Here is a 19,073-nt window from a genome sequence, read left to right on the forward strand (position 1 = left end):
CTGGTGAGGTCAGGGATTCCGCATGCAGCGTCACAGCTGCCAACCTCTCCAAAGCAGTAAAGGCCTTCGGACAGTGCACAGAAAGTGCTCCCATCCACAATGCTTCCTTGCCTGGATGGATGGATGGATGGATGGATGGATGGATGGATGGATGGATGGATGGATCGATCGATCTCACCAAGCCTCGTGCTCTAAGTACAAGTTTACTGGAAATACTCGGGCCAGAGGAACGCGCTAAATGATACTACAGGAGGCCACTTGCAGAATCCCAGTGGTGGGGGATGGCTCTGTAGGACACATGACCTGATTTCCTCAGTAAGTCAATGACCAAGAAATAACGGAGAGAAGGAGGAAAGAATCACCTATCCACCAATTGTGACATATGGCCTTAGTTAGGTCCTCAATAAATGATGACAAATATTGGATTAAATTACTTCTGGTTTGCTGCATGTTCCATTTTTGCCCATGCCGCACCTGCCATGGTGCATTTCTGATTCCCGTGCCCAGTTGGGAGGCTTTGGGGTTGTTGGGATGCTTTTGTGAATGGCTTCCTTCCTTCCCAGGCACAGGGGCTTTATGGGGCTCTGGAGCAGACAGACCAGAGTTTGCACCCAGCTCCCAGCTGGCCATGTTACCTCAACTGCAAAACGAGAGACGGACTTCCTTGGGACGCGGTGGTGGGGACACTGTGGTCTGTCTCCTCTGGGCGCCCCGTGGCGCCCGGTGGTGTGAGGTTAGGATGTGGGGCGTGGTGTCCAGGGACTGTGTGGCCTGCCTGGAGCTGGGCAGAGACAAAGCATGCATGTGACACTCCCTGACTTCAGGCCATAACAGGGGCAGGGGTGGGGGGCAATCAGGGTTCCTAGAGGACAACCCCATGTAGTTCCTCACTGCAGGGCTTGGAGGGAGCAGGTGAAGGCTTACCTGTCTTAGGTAATGAGGAGCTGTGCGGGTCTGAGACAGCTCTGGTTCCTTTAAGGGTATGTAGGGGTCACTGCCAGTCTGTAGCTCCCTCTGTGGGGGCAGGCTGTGGCACTGTGGCGACTGGCAGTACTGACTTCCTCTAAGCCAACCGGGCAGGGACAAGTCAGCTTGTTGTTCCGTCCACAGTAGAGGGCGGCCCTGGGGGTGAACGGCTGACCGTGAGGGCGTGGTCCCTCCCCCCAGACCACCCCGGAGGCCCCCTCCGCCCTCCTGCCTACAAAGAGTTCCCCCTTTGTGTTGAGAGGCCTGGGTCTCAGAGGTAGATGAATGGAGTCGTGAAATCAGGCAGGGATTCCCTTCTGCTTAAAACCCACTCTCCTTCCCATGCAGCACAGGTGGCCAAAACCTGCGGCTGGGTCAGAGGACTGGTTTAGTAAGAATTTTTTTTTTTTTAAATGTGGTTATCTGCTAGCCAGAAAAGGTGTGTGGTTTCGCAGTCTTTCAGACAAACTGAATTTAATAGTAGCTGACGTGAACCCCTGTTTCTCCTCTAGGCTCCAGAGCCGCACCCCAGTGCAGGTGTGGAAGCTCAGTTCCTCCAAAACCCAGACAGGCCTTGGTGTCCTGACTGCCACCCCCAGGGGGCCCCTCACTCGAGTCCTTGCTTGCAGTGCCCATGGGCAGCAGAGGTGTCCGGAGATGCAACAGGGCCCAGACCCCTACCAGCCTGTGGCCCAGCTGGGGGCAGGACTCCGGGGCAGGGTGAGTCCCTGCGTGACCTGATTCTCTGTGGGCAGGCCGGGCAGGGTGGCTGCAGGGCGGCGGAGCCTGTGCTGCTGGCCTGCATTTCTCTGGCTGGACAGATACTGCGCCCATATCCCTGGTCTTTCAAAGGGCTCTGTGGCTGGTGGAGGGCAGCAATGCCCCAAGGGAGGAGCAGGTGCCCAAGCCCCCAGGTGGCCCTGCGGGTACAGGTACTTGTTTACTCTGTGGCATCAGTCCTGCTTCCCAGCTCAAGGCCCTGGCCTCCACAGGCCTCCTCCCTCCCTCCCTCCCTCCCTCCTTCCCTTTTTTCCTGTGGCTCCAAGGCCCACAGTAGAAAGGCTCCAGTCTGTGTCCATGTGTTTTGGAGGCCTCTCAGGTACAGGGACTGTCAGCCCAGCTGTAAGTGGACCTTGGACCGCAAATTTGCATGGGCCCCTTTGCCAAAGCCCTGTGCCCACTGCTGGGGAACGCTGGGGACTCCGCTCTTGTGGGGCAGTGGGGCTGGGTGGGAGCAACCCCCCATCCGGGTGGCTGTGGCCGAGGCCCTTATGAGAGGGTGGTAGGTGTGTCTCCACAGTGGGGGACCAGATCTCTCTCTGGCCCCAAAGACTGCTTCAAGCCTCTGGAGGAGCACTTTGCCCCAGGCTGGGGCGTGACTGCTTCTGGTTGAGGGTTGCTGCCTGTGCAGGTGGCCCTCTTGTCGGTCTTGTCTGCTGCATGGGGGTGTGGCCTCCTGTGGATGGCCCCTGTCCTGGGTGGTACTGCTGCAGGACCTGGGTTTCCGGGGGTGTCCGGGAGTCGGATGGGCCTCACTCTCCTGGCCTCCACTGGGTCCAGGAGTGGCGATCTGTGAGCCAATGGCCGTGGCTGGGGGCAGCCTGGGGTGTTGAGAGGCCCTGGGCAGCCACCTTGCCTCTCTGAGTTTGTCCTCATGTGTCTCTGGGGCTGGAACTCGGTGTCCGACCTGGTGATGGGTCAGGTGTGATCAGGTGTGTGGGGCTCGGTCTGCATGTGCAGGGCTGTTTGAAGGCCTGTGGGGCCATCTGATGCCCCCCTTTTCTTCAGCCTTGGAGAGGATGGCTTCTCAGGCCGCCTCGCAGCAGATTTGTAGTCTGGTTGCTGTCGTTCCTGAAATAGCCTCTGAAGCTCTGTCCGGGAAGGGAACCTTGAGTGTGGAGGAGATAAGCCTGCTGACTGGGTGAGCCGGCCGGGGCGGGGGTGGCCCCTCTTCCCTTCCTCCCCTGCAGCTTCCATGGCCTGGGGCTGTGAGAGGCCCGGGAAGGCACTGTCTTTGCGCCTGCACATGTGTGTGTCTGGAGTGTAGGATGGCACTGGTGCCGGGCCTGGATTTACTCAGCCCAGATCACGGCTGCTTTTGTTTACGTGGCCCCTGCTCTCACCCACAACTCCAGGTTTCTGGCTCTCGGGAATTTGAGGCCTGTGGCTGCTGTGGACCCTGGGAAAGAGCCTGTGCTTCCTGAGCCAGTGCGGGGCCTGGCATGGAGTAGGTACCCCGGGGGTGGACAGATAGGCAGAGGAAGGGATGGGCAGGTGGATGGGGGGCTGAATTGTGGTCAGTTATGGGTGGCGGGTAGATGGGTGGACAGCTGGATAGATGAAGTACTGGGTGGGTGGAGAGAGAAAGGGGTGGGTGGACGGAGGGATGGGCAGGGAGAGAAATGGATGGGGCATGCTGCTTCCAGCACCCACTGGGTGCAGCTGTCTGCTGTCTGCTGTCCTGGGGGAAGGTCTGGAGAGGGCCTCTCGGTGAGTGTGGACTCAGCCAGCCTAGTCCCAATACAGCTGGGATGCATTGCTGCTCCTTCCGCCATCCCAGCAGCTGTCCAGAGATGAGACCCAGCCCCACTGTGTCTTTCTGGGATTCACAAGAATCCTTCCCTGGGCTGAGGGGGCGTTGCTGTGGGTGTATCTCATGGAGAGCCCCAAGGAGCCAGGGAGGAGCCTTCTGGTGGTTTGGGTTCTGGATTGGTGGGTGCTGGGTGGGTCTTCATGGCTGTTCTTGGGGCTGCCAGGCCTGCAAGGTAGACAGGCCTCTGGACTTGAGTGTGGCTGTGGACGAGGGCAGCGTCGCCATCAGAGGCGATGTCTAGGGCCACCCCCTCTGACTTGCCTCCTCCTCCTTCTGACTTGCCTCCTCTCTCTGACGGGCCTGCTCCTGAGCTTGACACCTGCCTGGGGGCTCCCGGCGAAGGCCGCTGGTTTCTAGAATGCACCATCTCTTCCTGGCATGACGGGAACCACCTGTGACATTGCCACCACCTCGCTGTAATCTGGGCAGCAGCTGTCATGATCCCACCATGTGCCCCCCGTGAGGCCCCCACCTGTTACTGAGTGGCAGGGACGTGCTCCCACACCCCCATGCGCCATCCTGCAGGTGCTTTCTGCTGACTTCTGTGTGCCCTGGGGCCTGCTCTCTTGGTAGGGGTTGACCCTGCCTGTGACTTAGACAGCTTGGAGGGCCAGGACTGAGGGGAGGGGGCGGTGGAGTGAAGGGGAGGGTGGGCGCTGCTGGCAAGAACCACAGGCAAAGAGGGTGCCGGGGGCAGGGAAGGCCTGGAGGTTTGAGGAGCAGAAAGTAGACCCTTGACCCTCCCTGGGCTGGTGAGTCGGGGCCCAGCCCAGAGTGACAGGGACCAAACCTGGGTCCATGTGCCGTGCCCAGCCTGGGGTTCAGGTTTCTTCCCCGTGAGCTGAGCAGACAGGGAGGGTCTTGGGGGAAGGCTGTGGGCCCTTGGGTGGAAGAGTCTTGGGTGAGGCCCCTGAACTGGTAAGCGGGGCAGCGGCGGCAGGGGGCCCAGGGAAGTGGGGCCAGTCGGGGGTCCTCAGGGGTCCTTCAGGGATATACCTGCTGTCAGGGTGTGGGGAGTGGGAAGTGGGGGACGGGGTGGATTCCAGGATTCCGGGTTGTGCTTGGTCAGAGTGGGGAACTGGACGCTCCGTCCCTGGCTCAGCCTCTCCCGGCTGTGACCTTGGGGGACCATTGACTTTACTGTGTGCCTGGAGAGCCTAATCCCTACCTGCCAGTGGGTGACACAGAAGGCAGGAATGCAGAAGGCCTTTCAGAAGTTCTCACTGGCCTGCAAGGTAGAGGCTGTTTTCTGCTGAGGATACATTTGCCCCCTCTATCCCCCAGATCGGCGGCTGCTCAAGGAGCCTGGTACAGCTGCACGGAGGCGCAGCACCCACAGGACAAGTGGTGGAATGTTCTGGTTGTCCTTGGTGCAGGTGGCGGGCGGGGCTGGGGGGCTCTGTAGCCTTCCTGGCTTCGGTCCCCTGGACAGGCTCCACCTCCCTCTTATCGTGGCCCCTTTGGCAGGCTGCCTGCCACCTCAAAGTCACGCTGCCCTGGGCACCCTGCCTCTTCCGGGGACTGGGGCTGGGGCTGGGGCAGCTGTGTTTATGGGTGTACTCCCTGTGCTGGGCACTGCGCTGAGCTCAACACACAGGGGCTCGGGGAGGTCTGTGGGTGCCCAGGCCGAGATGTGAACCCTGAGTTTGTGCAACTCGAGTTTCAGAGTGGCGGCCTCTGCTCCTCACAAGACATTGCCCTGCGAGGGGGTCAGCCCTGAAGCCGGATGGCCCGGCCCCCGCTACCACGTGGAGGCTCCCTGTAGGTGCTTGTGTAGATGCCCCCGTGCGGGGACTTGTTTGGCTGATGGATCAGGGGGAAGGTTCTCCCCACGGTGTGAGGCAGCACCGAGGGCTCCGTGCCCAGCAGGCTCACTGTCGGCAGTTGGGTCTGGTTTGATAACCGTGGACCGGGGTGACAGGCCCTGACTCTGCAGAGCAGGACTGTGGAAAATGGACACTGATGCTGCCCGGTGGATCCAGGCAGGGCCGGGATGTTTGCAGGACCCACGGGACAATTAGAACGACTGGGCCTGACTGGCACAGGGATGTGGACTACGGTGCTTGCCATCAGCAGATACAAGCTGTACGCAGTGGGCCGCAGGCGCTCCCTGGGCCGGAACACATGGACGTCCAGGTGTGGAATGGCCCGGACAGCAGATAACAAGCCTTCGTCGTGGTCACCCCTGGGTGTGGGCTGTGGGTTTTAATCTTTTCATTTTTGCTCATCTGAATTTTCTAATTAAAAATATATTGCTTTTTAAAAATAATAAAAGATCATTTAAATTAAAATATATAAGTGAGGAGAGGCTGGTAAGAGGATTCTGGAGTCCCTGGAGTGTCTTCTGGCATCGCATGGATGAGAACTCTGAATGAATTGAGTGTGATTTGACCTAGGAGAGTGCCGGGGTGGGGGCAGGTGCACTGTGGTCCTGGGTCCACATGGTGCTAGGGTCCCATGGGCTCCTGGCCCCTGGCTGCTGCCCCCACATTGGGCCCTGCACCAGGCATGAGTCCCATGTCCTGTCCTTGGGGAGGCCTGGGGGACAGGAGTTGGGGGGGTGGGCAGTGCCTCTGTGTGGCAGATTCCAGCTTCTCTCAGGGGCCAGGATTACATGGTCCGTGTTGGACTCTGGGATGCTGGTGGGAAGAACAGTCTGGGCGAGGAGGAAAGGGTGGCTCTGCTGACCCCTCCTAGGTGGGCTGGGGCTGAGGCGGATCCCACTGTGGGGAGCTGCCCAGAGATGGAAGGAGCTGGAGTCCACAGGGCGCTTCTCTTCTCTTTTCCTGTGTGTTAAGGTAGTTCAAAGTCCTCCTGCCCGAGGAAGTAAGACAGCAATCTCTGGGGTCCTGGGCACCAACTCTGGGCACTGATGGGCTGGTCCAGTGCAGGGAGCTGCCCCGGCCGCCCCCGTGGGTGCAGGCCATGGGCTCTTGTTTCCTTTCCCCCATCTGTAAAATGGGTAACGGCCGCTCCTTCAGGGGCTGTTAGCCACATGCTTAGACCGCACCGAGAAAATGCAGTCCCTCCAGAGCTCCTAACCTTCCATGGGCCACAGGCCCCTTCCCAGAAGTTTTTTTATTTTTTATTTTTTTTTGAAGCAGGGTCTCACTCTGTCGCCTAGGTTAGAGTGCAGTGGCACAGTCATCACTCACTGCAGTGCGACCTCCTGGGCTCAAGCTGGCACCGTGACCCCTTCTCCAAGGCCTGCCAGGCTGGCCTCCAGTCCAGGTGTGAGGCCCTGAGGCCCTGGCTGCAGCTGGAAGCTCTTGGGCAGTGCACTGTCCCCACAGCGGACTGCCTCCTGCAGCCAGGTGGCCTTAGGTGATCCTCCAAGGTCCAGCCAGCCAGGATCTGAGTCAGGAGGAACCACGGCCCCCACCAGGGCTGAGACTCCTCTGAGCTCGTCACTTGTCTTGGTTGGGTAGAGGCCTGAGAGGGTGGACACTTGCCCAGGGTCACACAGCTTGTGCGTAGCAGAGCTCCCTGTCCGGCCCCTGCCCCGTGCTGGCCCCTCTCACACCTTGCTCACGCTAGGTGCCTTGTACCAGTGCCTGCTTGGGGGTGGAATTGGAGAGGGGAGGGGTGGGCGCCGAGCTCTGCCTCCCACCAGCATGCTTCCCAGAGCTTCCTGGGAGAAGGTTTACGGAGGAGTGGCCTTGTCTGGTGTCCCTCTGGGTAGAGCCTGTGTTCCGGGCAGGCTGGGAACAATGAATGGTACAGATCCACGGCTCCCCTTGGGCCTTGGTGGGCTCCAGCCATGCCTCCTGGAAGGCCATTTGGAGCCTGGCTGGCAGGCAGGAGCTGTGTGCTGCCAGGCGGGTCTAGATGTGGTTGGTTCCTGGCTGCACCTGCCGGGCTCATGACCTGCCCTGTCCTTTCCTTGGGGAGCTTGGTGACGGCTCAGGTCGACTCCCAGGGGCCCGCCCTTCAGGGCCTGCATGAGTGTTCTCGGGCTGGCTATGGGGGCATTGCTTCTTCCTGTCCTAGCCGGGACCTGCCCATCCACCCAGGGGGCTCAGGGACGTTTTTGAGTTTTCCTGAGGCTTTGCCTAGGGAGTGTCGCTGAGGAAGCTGGAACAGTGACCTTCGTTGTTGGGGGAGGAGATGCAGGCAGGCTGTGGCCCAGCTGCCCCATTTTGTAGCTGGGGAAACTGAGGCCCAGAGTGGAGAAGCGATCTCCAAAGGGGAGGTGACACATGGCTGAGCCCCGCCTGATGGGTGCTTGCTGGGGGGAGAAGTCCTGGCTGGGACTTCCCCTCCCCAGGCTGGGGTTTGTCCCCTACTTTGCAGGAGGAGGGGGGCTCCCAGAAGAGAGTGAGTTTTGAGGGAACACAGTGCTGGGGGTCCCCTCCTGGGCCTGGGGCTGTGGTTCTTAGAGGGGCAAGGGGCTGGCCCCTGTTGCTGGCTGTGGCAGCCACAGCCTTCTGACCCTTGCTGGCCTGTCGTGGAGTGGGGTTCAAGATGCTATCACTGACATCTGCCCAGGCTCGGGGGCTTCTGTGTGGTGCCAGCCTTGCCCGGGGGCACAGCCATCAGCAGGCCAGAAGTCCTCAGGAGAGCTTGCTGCCAGGCTGCTGCCTGGGGCCAGGCTTCAGATATGCTGGCCAGCCTTGTCCAGGGGGCCTCCTGCCAGGTGGGCAGAGGGAGAGGGCCTTCCTGTCCTCATGAGAACAGGGCTGAGCTCCATGTTCCTTAGCCTCCCTTGGCCTCAGTCATCCTATCTGGAAACAGGGATCATAATAGTTTTAGTTTATAGAGAGCGAGGGCCTGGCCCCTGCGCTCTTCCTCTGTGGTCTCCTCTGCCCGCTCCCAGAACACCTGGCCTCCTGCTCTGAGGGCCAGCCCTGGGTTGCAGCAGTGAGCATGACCTGGCCACAGTCTAGGGGCTTTGGGGTGGGTTTGTGGGCAGCTGGGCTGCAGGGGGCTGTGGGAGCCTGAGGGAGTGCCTTCCAGGGGAAGCCCGACAGATGGGGGCACTCCAGGCAGGGGCAGGAGGTGACCTGGAGGTCGGAGGAGCAAGCTGTGGCTGGAGAGCCGGGCAGGGTTGGTCAGCAGGTCCGAGGGCCTGGGCCTCCCTGGGGTGAGGGCCAGGGTGCCTCTGCAGGGGTGGAAGTGGGCTGTGAGGGGGTCTGGGTTTATCTCCCCATTGCACAGGGCTCCATGGGGTGGGCTGAGCCATGAGCGCCCTTCGTGGCACCTTGGTGTCCGGCAGGGAGGCAGGGGCCCAGGAGGAGGGCAGGACTGGCTTCAACGGTGTCGGCCTCTACCCTTTTGGTCCTCACGGAGGAGGCTGCTCCCTCTTCCCTGGAGCAGCCAGGGATGGTGTGGGGCCCTGGTCCCCTGGCTTGATATAGGCTTCTGCAGAGGATATGGTGTGGCCGGGGGCTCAGCTGAGAAGCCACCAGGAGACAGATACAGCCTCAGGAAGTGGTTTTGTATCTCTGCTGAGAACCACAATCCGAGTCACATGGGACCATTGAGATCACGTCAGGGTGCAGGCTGGGGAAGGCTGGGAGCTGGGGTTTGGCAAAGGCGTTGGGGTGCTCTTGTGCTGGACAGGCTGCTGCCCACCGGGCCTGGCCCAGGTGAGGTGAGAGACACCTGCCCCCCACGTCAATGCCTGGGCACACGGGCCCAGTGCACACAGCCAGCAGGCGTGCGTCTTGCAATGGGGGCTGTGGGGACCCCTTTGCTCCCCTGATCCCTTCCCTGCAGACCCAGGCCAGGTGGATTCAAGGTGTGGGGCAGGGTAGGAGCTGGGCACTGCTGGATGGCATGGGCCACCCGCACTGGGGCTGCTGTGACCTCCGAGTCCAGGCACTGCCTTCCACCTGGTTAGGGACAGGGCAGGGAGGCTGATGGGCTGGCCCAGCGTGGGGACCTGCCCAGTGGCCCTGTGGGTGCAGGCCATGTGCCTCTGCATTTCCTTTACCCCATCTGTAAAATAGGGATAACAGCAGCTTCTTAAAGGGCTGTTAGCCACGTGCTTAGACTGTGCCCGGAAAATGCACTGTCTCTCCTGGGCTCCCAACCTTTCACAGGCCACAGGCCCATTCCCAGAAGTTTATTTTTTATTTTTCGAGACAGGGTCTCCCTCTGTCACTTAGGCTAAGAGTGCAGTGGTGTGATCTTGGTTCACTGCAGCCTCGACCTCCCTGGCTCAAGAGATCCTCCCGCCTCAGCCTCCTGAGTAGCTGGGACTACAGATGCACACCACCACGCCTGGCTAATTTTTGTATTTTTTGTAGAGATGGGGTCTTGCTATATTGCCCAGTCTAGTCTCAAGCTCCTGAGCTCAAGCGATCTGCCTGCCTCAGCCTCCCAAAGTGCTGGGATTACAGGCATGCACTTTTTTTTTCTAAGTAGCTTTACGGAGGCGTGCTTGGCATACGGTAAACTGCCCCAGTTTAAAGCAGACAGTTCCATGAGTCCTGACATTTGGAGGCCCTGTGAAGCCAGCATCAGCAGAGTGGGCACACCCATCACCCTCACAGCGTCCCCCTGTCCCCACGACCAGGCCACTGCTGCCCTACCATCAGGCACGATGGATGGGCTTGTGCCTTGTGGAATTTTATTTGGATGGACTCTGGCAGCCAACGCTGGTTTCGTCTGGCTTCTTTTATTCAGCGTCATGATTTTGAGCTGTGTGTCTGTTGTGTGTGTCGGCCTGTTGTTTGGGTAGAGCCTACTTTGCCGATCCATGCACCTGTTGATGGACATGTGGGCGGCTGTATCCCATTTGGGCTCTCACAAATGATACTGCTAGGAATAGCTGGAGTCTCTGTGCGAGCAAATGCTTTTGCTTCTCTTGTGCAAGCAAGTGGTTGAACTGCTCTGCAGCCCGCTGGGAAGTGGAACGGCTGTGTCATGGGGTGGGTGAGGGCTTCACTTTCTAGGACACTGACAAACCGTTTTCTAAAGCAGCAATCCCCTTTTGCAGTCCAGCAGCTCCGTGCGACAGCTCTAGTTCCTCTGTCTCCTTGTCAACACTTGGTGTGGTCGGTCTTTAATTTTAGCCAATCTAACAGGTGTGTCGGGGCCCTCCCTGGCATTCCTGGTGACTCACTGTGTGGGGTCATCTTTTCAGCTGCTTAGTTGTTGTCCACATATCTTCTTTGGTAAAGTGTCTGTCAAATTGTCTGTTAAGAAAACGTGGGTGGTTTTTCATTGAATTCAAGAGTTTTTTTTTTTTTCTTTATTTTGAGAGAGAATCTCACTCTCCGTCTCCCAGGTTGTAGTGTGGTGGCGTGATCTTGCTTGGCTCACTGCAACCTCTGCCTCCCGGGTTCAAGTGATTCTCCTGCCTCAGCCTCCCAAGTAGTTGGGACTACAGATGCCCGCCACCATGACTGGCTAATATTTGTATTTTAGTAGAGACAGGGTTTCACCACGTTGGCCAGGCTGGTCTCTAACTCCTGACCTCGTGATCCACCTGCCTCGGCCTCCCAAAGTGCTGGGATTACAGGCATGAGCTACGGCTCCCGGCCGAGATGTTACATGTTTCTATATTCTGGACCAAGTCCTCTATCAGATACCTGCTCTGTGAAGCCTTCCCTTATCCCTTGCTAGTCCTTCAGTTCTTTTAAACAATTTTTTTTTTCTTTTTTTGAGACGGAGTCTCGCTCTGTCACCCAGGCTGGAGTGCAGTGGCGCGATCTCGGCTCACTGCAAGCTCCGCCTTCCGGGTTCATGCCATTCTCCTGCCTCAGCCTCCCGAGTAGCTGGGACTACAGGCGCCCGCCACTGTATCCAGCTGATTTTTTGTATTTTTATAGAGACAGGGTTTCACCGTGGTCTCCATCTCCTGACCTCGTGATCCGCCCGCCTCAGCCTCCCAAAGTGCTGGGATTACAGGCATGAGCCACCACGCCCGGCCCTTTTAAACAACTTGTTTTTAGAGCTGCGGTCTCACTCTGTCGCCCAGGTTGAAGTGCTTGGTGCTATGACGGCTCACTGCAGTTCCAACTCCTGGGCTCAAGCCATCCTCCCGTCTCAGCCTCCTAAGTAGCTGGGACCACAGGCGCATGTCACCACGCCCGGCTGATTGTTAAATTTTTTGTAGAGCTGGGGTCTGGCTATGTCGCTGACAATCAAAATGAGGACTTGAAGCATACTCCTCAAATCATCGAGGTTTATTGAGCCAACGTGAGGGCACGCCCAGGAAAAACTCCAGTCACAGAAGCATCTGTGGCTGCTTTTTCCAAAGAGGTGCGTAGGAGGTTTCATTCATATTTATATGTTTTCTTGAAAAGGGGAGGGGCATCAAGTGAGACAAATGATTATATACTTGCGAGACTTTAGTTAGAGCCCAGTAAATCTACATTTTACAGAAGACGTATATTGGAGGAAAGAGGGAGCATGGAAGCGTATATCCCAGGGAGGCGGAAGAACATCTCGTTATCTCGTCTCGCCTTTGTTCTGTGCCTGGGAAGGAAGACAAGCCGGCGTCTTATGAAAAGGCTGGTTTCTGTTCAGCCCTTTGGGAAGAAAACCCAATGACAGTTATCAAGGGAGGGGGTGTGATGATACGTATCCAACCGCACATCCATCATGGCCCTGAACTCAGCTTCCAGGGTTTCTCTGGGGTTCCCTCGGCCAAGTGGGGATCCACTCAGTTAGGTGGGGGGGGGGGTGCTTAGAATTTTATTTTTATTTCTCATTGCCCAGACTGGTCTCAAAACCCTGGTCTCGATCAATCCTCCCACCTCAGCCTCCCATTCTCTTAATAGTGCCCTTTTAGAGAGCAAACGTTTTGACTTTGATGAAGTCCAGTTTATCAACTTGTTCCCTTATGGATTGTGTTTTTTGGTGCTCTCAGAAATCTTTCCCTAAACCAAGGGCACAGATTTTCTGTTTTCTTCCAGAAATTTTGTAGTGTCAGGTTTCACACTGAGGTGGATATTCCTTTTGAGTTAATGTCTGACCAGCTGGGAGGTGTCGGTGGAGGCTCCCTTTCTGCCCGCGGGTTCCAGCACATTTGCTGGGATGGCCCTCCTCCCTCCACAGCAGAGTTCTACCCGCCCTCACCACCCTGTATCAACTCATCTCATCGATATCTCCCAACGGCTGGGGAACAAGGGCTGACTCGGCTGCAATCATCCTGCAGCCAGACTCGGGGACCTAGGACTCTGAACCTCCAACTGGTGTGGCTTCAGGGTCCCCAACTTTTCAGACCCCACCTCTGTGTTGCTCTGCAAGTGGGGATCAGCAGGGCTGTACCCCAAATGCTGCTTGCTTCTCCCGCCCTCCTCCCTCTCCCCATCTGCTCTTGGCTGCACCCCCAACCCTGACCCAAGTGTCCTTCACGCTCAGCAACGCCACAGCCTCTGACACTCCACGGCACTAAAGTGTCAAGAGACCCAGGGGACCTGCGAGATCCATCTCGCCCCACACACCACCAGGTCCCCAGGACTTGGAGGATGCTGATGGCCCAGCTCTGGGTCCTAAGCATGGCAGTATCACAGCCTCACAGGCACATGTGTATGTGTGTGTGTGCACGTGTGTATGGGTGCGTGTGCACCTGTGTATATGGGTGTGTGCACGTATGCACGGATGTGTGTACACATGTGTATGGGTGTGTGCATGGGTGTGCACATGTGTATGGGTGTGCATGTGTGTATAGGTGTGTGTATGTGTGCATGGGCGTGTGTATGTGTGCATGGGCGTGTGTGTACTTGTGTATGGGTGTGTGCATGTGATTGGGTGTGTGCATGTGTATATAGGTGTGTGTGCACGTGTATGGGTGCGTGTGCACCTATGTGTGTATAGGTGTGTGTGTTTATGTATGGGTGTGTGTGCACATGTGTATAGGTGTGTGTATGCGTGCACCTATGTGTGTATAGGCGTGTATGTGTGCGCGTGTGTAGGTGTGTGTTCATATATATGGGTGTGTGTGCACCTATGTGTATAAGTGTGTGTGCACATGTGTATAGGTGTATGTATGGTTGTGTGTGTATAGGTATGTATGTGTGCACATGTGTGTAGGTGTGTGTGTTCATGTATATATGGGTGTGTGTGCACCTATGTGTATAAGTGTATGTGCACATGCGTATAGGTGTGTGTGTTTTATGTATGGGTGTGTGTGCACCTTTGTGTGTATATGTGCATGTCTATGTGTGCACATGTGTGTAGGTGTGTGTGTTCATGTATATATGGGTGTGTGTGCACCCATGTGTATAAGTGTATGTGCACATGTGTATAGGTGTGTGTTTTATGTGTGGGTGTGTGTGCACCTTTGTGTGTATACGTGCATGTCTGTGTGTGTTTGTGGGTGTGTGTGTACCTATGTCTGTATAGGTGTGTGTGTTTGTGTCTGGGTGTGTGTGCACCTATGGGTGTGTGTGTGTATGCATGTGTGCATGTCCCTCACAGGGCAGAGCTGGAAAGAACTGGAGAGGCTGAGGCTGGTCCCTTCATCTCAGGGTGAAGCACCTTTACCCAGAGAAGGAGGGTCGTGGCCTGGGCTACTTTGTGGGCTGGAGTCCTGGTCTCTGTCACTGAAAAAAGCAAGGCAGAGCGTCTGGGAGGGGTGTCATGCGGGGCTTTCTGAGTCACTGGCTGCGTGAGATGTGAGTAGGTCTGTGGGATAGGGAGCTGGCCAGGGACTTGAGCTCCCTGCCTGCTATGACCTCAGTCAGCCCCTGCCCATTGTCAGGCTCCTTCCCTGTCTAGGGGTACCCAGTAGAGCTGCCCAGCCCTGCCACTCCAGCTTGTTTGAGGAAAAAGTGCAACCATGCTGTGGGTGGAGGCAGATGTGATTCTGTCCTCAGAGGCATGGGGGTGACTCCATGGCTCTGAGCCAAGTTGCAGCTCTGGGGCCCTTCTTGATACTCCAGGGCCCCCCATCACCCCAGCACCGAGATGGGCATGAGCAGAGGGGCTCATGGTGATGGGGTGGGCGTGGCTGGGAGAAGCCTGCATATGAAGGCCTCTGTCATTGGAGGAGACTGTCCCATGTCCCTCCAGATCATGTCCCTGAGTGGGGAGCGCCTTCTGGGCAGAGTGGCACACAGGGTCCCACCCATCTCAAGTCCATGGGATTAACTCCCCTGTGCTGGAAGCTGCAGGAGCTGCTGCCTGTGGCTGAGGAGAGGCCAGGACGGGCCAAGGAGAGCAGGCAAGAGAAGGGGTGGGGCTGGCAGGGAGGGGGCTCCATTAATTCTGATGTCATTTATTGCTGTTCCTATATTTGTATAATAAATGGAAGAAAATAGTGGTTGGGGGCTTGCTGGGGACTCAGGGAGGGTTGGGGACCTCCAGGGCTTCCATTCGACCTGAGGCCCATGGTGCAGTGAGTCCTGCCTGGAGTCCCGTCCAGCAGGAGGCAGGAGAGCTGGTGTTTGGAGATGTGAGGGGCTGGGCCCTCCCAGGTGAGCGGGTTGGGAAAGGAAAGGGTCTGTGCTGGGAAATCCAAGGGGCAAGGCCGTTTCCCGTCCTGGTCCGTCGTTGAGTCCCCTGCCGTGGGACAGCGCTCAGCATGGCACAGACGCTCAGCCGTGTCATGTGGCTTGTAGAGCGAGGGTGTGCGGCCGGCATCATCCTCAGGGAACTCTGGAGGGACTGGGCCTCAGTTGGCCTGGCCTGGCGCGGGGCTGCCAGCCAAGAGCCTTCCTCCATCCCATTGAGAGCCAGGGCAGGTCCTGGAGATGGCAGCCTGCAGGTTGAAGCCCCCGACAGCTGGGGGAGGCATTGCTCTGCACAGGTAGGGCCATGGGGCCCGCTGGCCAGGGTGGCCATTGCTCAGTGGCACCAGCTGGGCAGACAGCCGCATGCGCTCACCACTCGCCCTCCACAGATGGGAGCCTGGGAGAGCCCTGCCTCCCGGAACGGACATCCTCCTTCACCAAATCCGCAAAATAGGCCTGATGCCAGGAACGGGGCACTGCAGGGCCCTTGGGAGGGAGGTAAGCGGGCAGCCGGGCCAACCTGCTGCTTGGGGAAGGGCTGTGGCTGGCCCCAGCCTCCTACCGCTGGCCCAGTGGTCTCTCCACACATCACCCAGTGTGGAGTGGTTTTTTGTCTTTCTTTCGAAACAGGCTTTCCTCACTGAGGGCTCACCATGGGGCTGTGCTGGGGACACTGGATGTGTCCAGGGTCCGTCAAGAAGCGTTGGGGGTAGTCAGGGTCTCAGGGACCACTCTGCTGTCCTCGAGTCTCCTGGTGGTGACCAGTGGTGACTCTTGTGGCGCCCGGGCCACAGCTACTTTGTTCACCTCCTAGGAGGGAAGAGGGCGAGGGTGAGCCTAGGGCAGATGCCAGGGCAGTGAGGCTCACGTGGGTCTCTTTGCCTGATGTGCCGGTGTCCAGGCTGCAGTGGGCACCCGAGCCCTGTGGGAAGCCTCCTGGGTCTGCAGCTGAGCAAAACAGCAGCCGCCAGATGATGGGCCCTAAGTGGCTGCAGATAGCAGGCACCATTAAATGCAGAGGCCATCTGAGGCTGCAGGCTCAGCACAGGTGGCTTTGGTGCCCTTAGGGAGGGGCAGCGGTGGAGCCCAGGTCTCTGAAACATTTATGACTTCATGCGTCAGCTGGAGGCTCTTTCACCGCCCAGACAAAAGGCCCTTGCGTCAGAGTGTTCCATGTGGGGCGGGAGCTTGGGCTGAGAGCTTGGGCCCCTGCTCCCAGAGAGGCCCAGAGCTGGGGTGGCCACACCTGCTGGGAATGCTGCTGGTGGGACTAGGTTAAGGCGAGAAGGAGGTGTCCATGGCCAGGTGGATTAGTGCAGATTGTGATGGTGTGGTGGTGCTCACGGTGGGGGACTTGCCTATGGGAACCTCATCACAGCCCCACATCGGGCCCTTTTACAGATGGGAAAACTGAGGCATGGGGTGCATAGCTAGTGAGGAGCAGAGCCAGATGGGAACCAGGCGTCGACTTCAGAGCTGACCTTTGTGCATTTGTGCATTGTTTGTGTTGTGATAAAATACACGTAACGTAAAATTGACCTTTTTAACCCATGTTTCATGGTCTTCGGTTTACTCGCAGTGCTAGGCGTCCGACACGTCTTTCTAATTCCTGAACATTTCCATCATCCGCAAGAGGAAATTAGCAGTCACCCCTTTCCCCCATGCCCCCAGCTCCTGACAACCACAAGCCCACTTTCTGCCCCTGGATTTAGCTATTCTGGATGTTTCATGTGCCTGAAATCATGGCAAACGTGGCCCTGTGTGTCTGGTTTCCTTCACCGAGCGTCCTGTCTTCACTGTCCGCCGTGTTATAACACGCAAGGGAATTCCCTTCCTTTCTGAGCTGAGTAGTGGTCTGTGGTGTGGATGGACTACGTGCAGCTGTCTCTGCCTTTGGCTGTTGTGGCTAGAGGCTCCTTCCTGAAAGCCTGATACTTAGAATGGATTTAAAAACAAATTCAAATGTGTGTTGCTTATGAAAATCACAAAATTAAGTATGATGCCATCAAAATGAAAAAATGGCTAAAGATTTTCAAGCACACACACCTAAAGATAGCAGACATTCCATTCAACCTTCATCTCAAAGAATTAGGGCAAGGAGGGCGATTCTAAATGGCTGGAGACATAGTCAGCTGTGAAGCTGTAACTTTCATGAAGACAGTGACGTGGTTTGTCACTGCCCGGATCTCATCTTGAATTCCCTGTGTTGTGGGAGGGACCTGGTGGGGGGTAATTGAATCACGGGGACGAGTCTTTCCTGTGCTGTTCTCGTAATAGTGAATACGTCTCATAAGATCTGATGGTTTTAAAAAGAGGCATTCCGCTACACAAGCTCTCTCATGTTTTGCCTGCCACCATCCACGTAAGATGGGACTTGGTCCTCCTTGCCTTCCGCCATGATTGTGAGGCTTCCCCAGCCACATGGAACTGTAAGTCCAATTAAACCTCTTTCTTTTGTACATTTGCTCAGTCTTGGGTATGTCTTTATCAGCAGTGTGAAAACGGACTAATACTGACAATAAATTAAAAACTATTTAAAATGCAAAGGAAAATATAAATTTAAATCACCTCTTCGAGTCTCTGGTAGATCAAGAAAACAAAAATAATCTGAATTATTGATATAGTTAAATTAATAGATATATCAAACTTTGTAACTTAAAAGCAAAAGATGTACCTTTTACAGTGTTCCTGGAACACTCACAAACATTGATCATATACTAGACTGCAAAAACTTCAAGACATTCTAAAATTAAGAACCTATGCTGGATATCTCTGATTTCAACGTATGTTTAAAATATATGTTATTAATTACAAGTTTAATTAATGAAAGTCTAAAGAAGAAAAGTCTACTTAGAAGTAAAAACATCAGCAATATTACTGTGTAATAGATCTGAACATTAAAGGGGCATATATGCATATCTGTACACCGAGGCAAATTTATAGCTACAGGCATTTTCCTTTTTTGAAAAAAGTAAATATGTAAGTTAAAAAGTTCACAGTAAGAAAAGTGAATGTAAATAAGAGATAAGAATAGAAAATAATAGGAAACAGGAAAACAGACTTGAGGGTTCTTTTTGGGAGGTGATTCTTGGTTCTTTGAGGAAAACAATATATATCTTATAATTTCAATCATGGAAAAACCCCAAGTATATATCTAAATTTAGACATGAGAAGGCTCTTTGGCAATCGATTTAGAAAAGTTTTGTTTGTGTTTTTAAGACAGAGTCTCACTCAATCACCCAGGCTGGAGTGCAGTGGTGCAATCTTGGCTTACAGCAACGTCTACCTCCCGGGTTCAAGCGCTCCTCCCCCCTCAGCCTCCCAAGTAGCTGGGTTTACGGGCATGTGCCACCACCCCTGGCTAACTTTTTGTATTTTTAGTAGAGACAAAGGTTTCATTATGTTGGCCAGGCTGGTATTGAACTCCTGAGCACAAGTGATCCACCCACCTCGGCCTCCCAAAGTGCTGGGATCACAGGCATGAGCCACTGCACCCAGCCCAGTTTTTAATGTGACAGTACTTTGTAAAATTGTACTCCAGTGAATTTGAAAAATGTTGTGAGATGGCTTATTCTTTGGGAAAAAATGTTAAGTCAAAATTAGGAAGAAGTGGAGACAATCTCAGTATGTGTGAGATGAATCTGAACCCTCATCAGAACGTCCACAGCTGACGGTGAACACATTGGCAGGTGAGATATGTGGAGACATGGCACGTGGTGAAAATGCTTGGCAAAGTGTTCAAGGCAGGATGGAGATACCGTATGGGCATTCACTGGACAGTGTTTTCATCCCGTATGTTTGAACAATTTTTAATGTGGGATCAAAGGTAGGAAATGCTCTTTACAAAGTCATCAAAAAGTTTTTTCTGGAAAAGCCTCCAGCCCACGGTGACCTAGGTTCTTCCCACCATTGAATTAGGATGCCGTCTGCTACTGAGAGAGCCAGTCATGTTAGTGGCTCAATGGGCAGGGTGCCCAGGTTAGCTGTGAACAAAGTGATCTCTCTGCTGCCTCACTAGCAGAGAGAAAAGAAAACTACAGACCAGTGATATGTACACAGAGAGCAATGAAAATCCTCATTATGATGGCAGACTAAACCCATAGTGT

General features: G+C 55.7%; 1 protein-coding gene across 5 annotated transcripts in view, besides 3 other annotated features; it reads left to right on the plus strand.

Moving 5' to 3' along the window:
* Positions 1-19,073, plus strand: part of KCNQ1 (potassium voltage-gated channel subfamily Q member 1) — a 404,098-nt gene that overhangs the window by 13,514 nt on the left and 371,511 nt on the right. The window contains exon 1 of one of the 5 annotated variants that reach the window (NM_181798.2): positions 2,920-3,193. The exons of the other annotated variants lie outside the window; for them this stretch is intronic. Coding sequence (NP_861463.1) covers positions 3,189-3,193 — 5 coding nt within the window. The 5' untranslated portion in view covers positions 2,920-3,188. Of the gene's footprint in view, positions 1-2,919; positions 3,194-19,073 lie in introns of those variants that run through there. 5 annotated transcript variants of the gene reach the window in all.
* Positions 2,415-2,915: an enhancer, noted in NCBI's record as "H3K4me1 hESC enhancer chr11:2482166-2482666 (GRCh37/hg19 assembly coordinates)". NCBI's record gives its function as "activates a minimal SCP1, AML or CMV promoter by ChIP-STARR-seq in primed H9 embryonic stem cells {active_cell/tissue: H9 hESC(primed)}" and the evidence as "EXISTENCE:reporter gene assay evidence [ECO:0000049][PMID:30033119]".
* Positions 4,618-4,912: a silencer, noted in NCBI's record as "tiled region #11059; K562 Repressive non-DNase unmatched - State 20:ReprD". NCBI's record gives its function as "represses a minimal TATA promoter and a strong SV40 promoter by Sharpr-MPRA in K562 cells {active_cell/tissue: K562}" and the evidence as "EXISTENCE:reporter gene assay evidence [ECO:0000049][PMID:27701403]".
* Positions 8,835-8,884: an enhancer, noted in NCBI's record as "active region_4304". NCBI's record gives its function as "activates an Ori minimal core promoter by ATAC-STARR-seq in GM12878 lymphoblastoid cells {active_cell/tissue: GM12878}" and the evidence as "EXISTENCE:reporter gene assay evidence [ECO:0000049][PMID:35858748]".

The sequence above is a fragment of the Homo sapiens genome, chromosome 11, assembly GCF_000001405.40.
Source record: "Homo sapiens chromosome 11, GRCh38.p14 Primary Assembly".
NCBI lineage: Eukaryota > Metazoa > Chordata > Mammalia > Primates > Hominidae > Homo > Homo sapiens.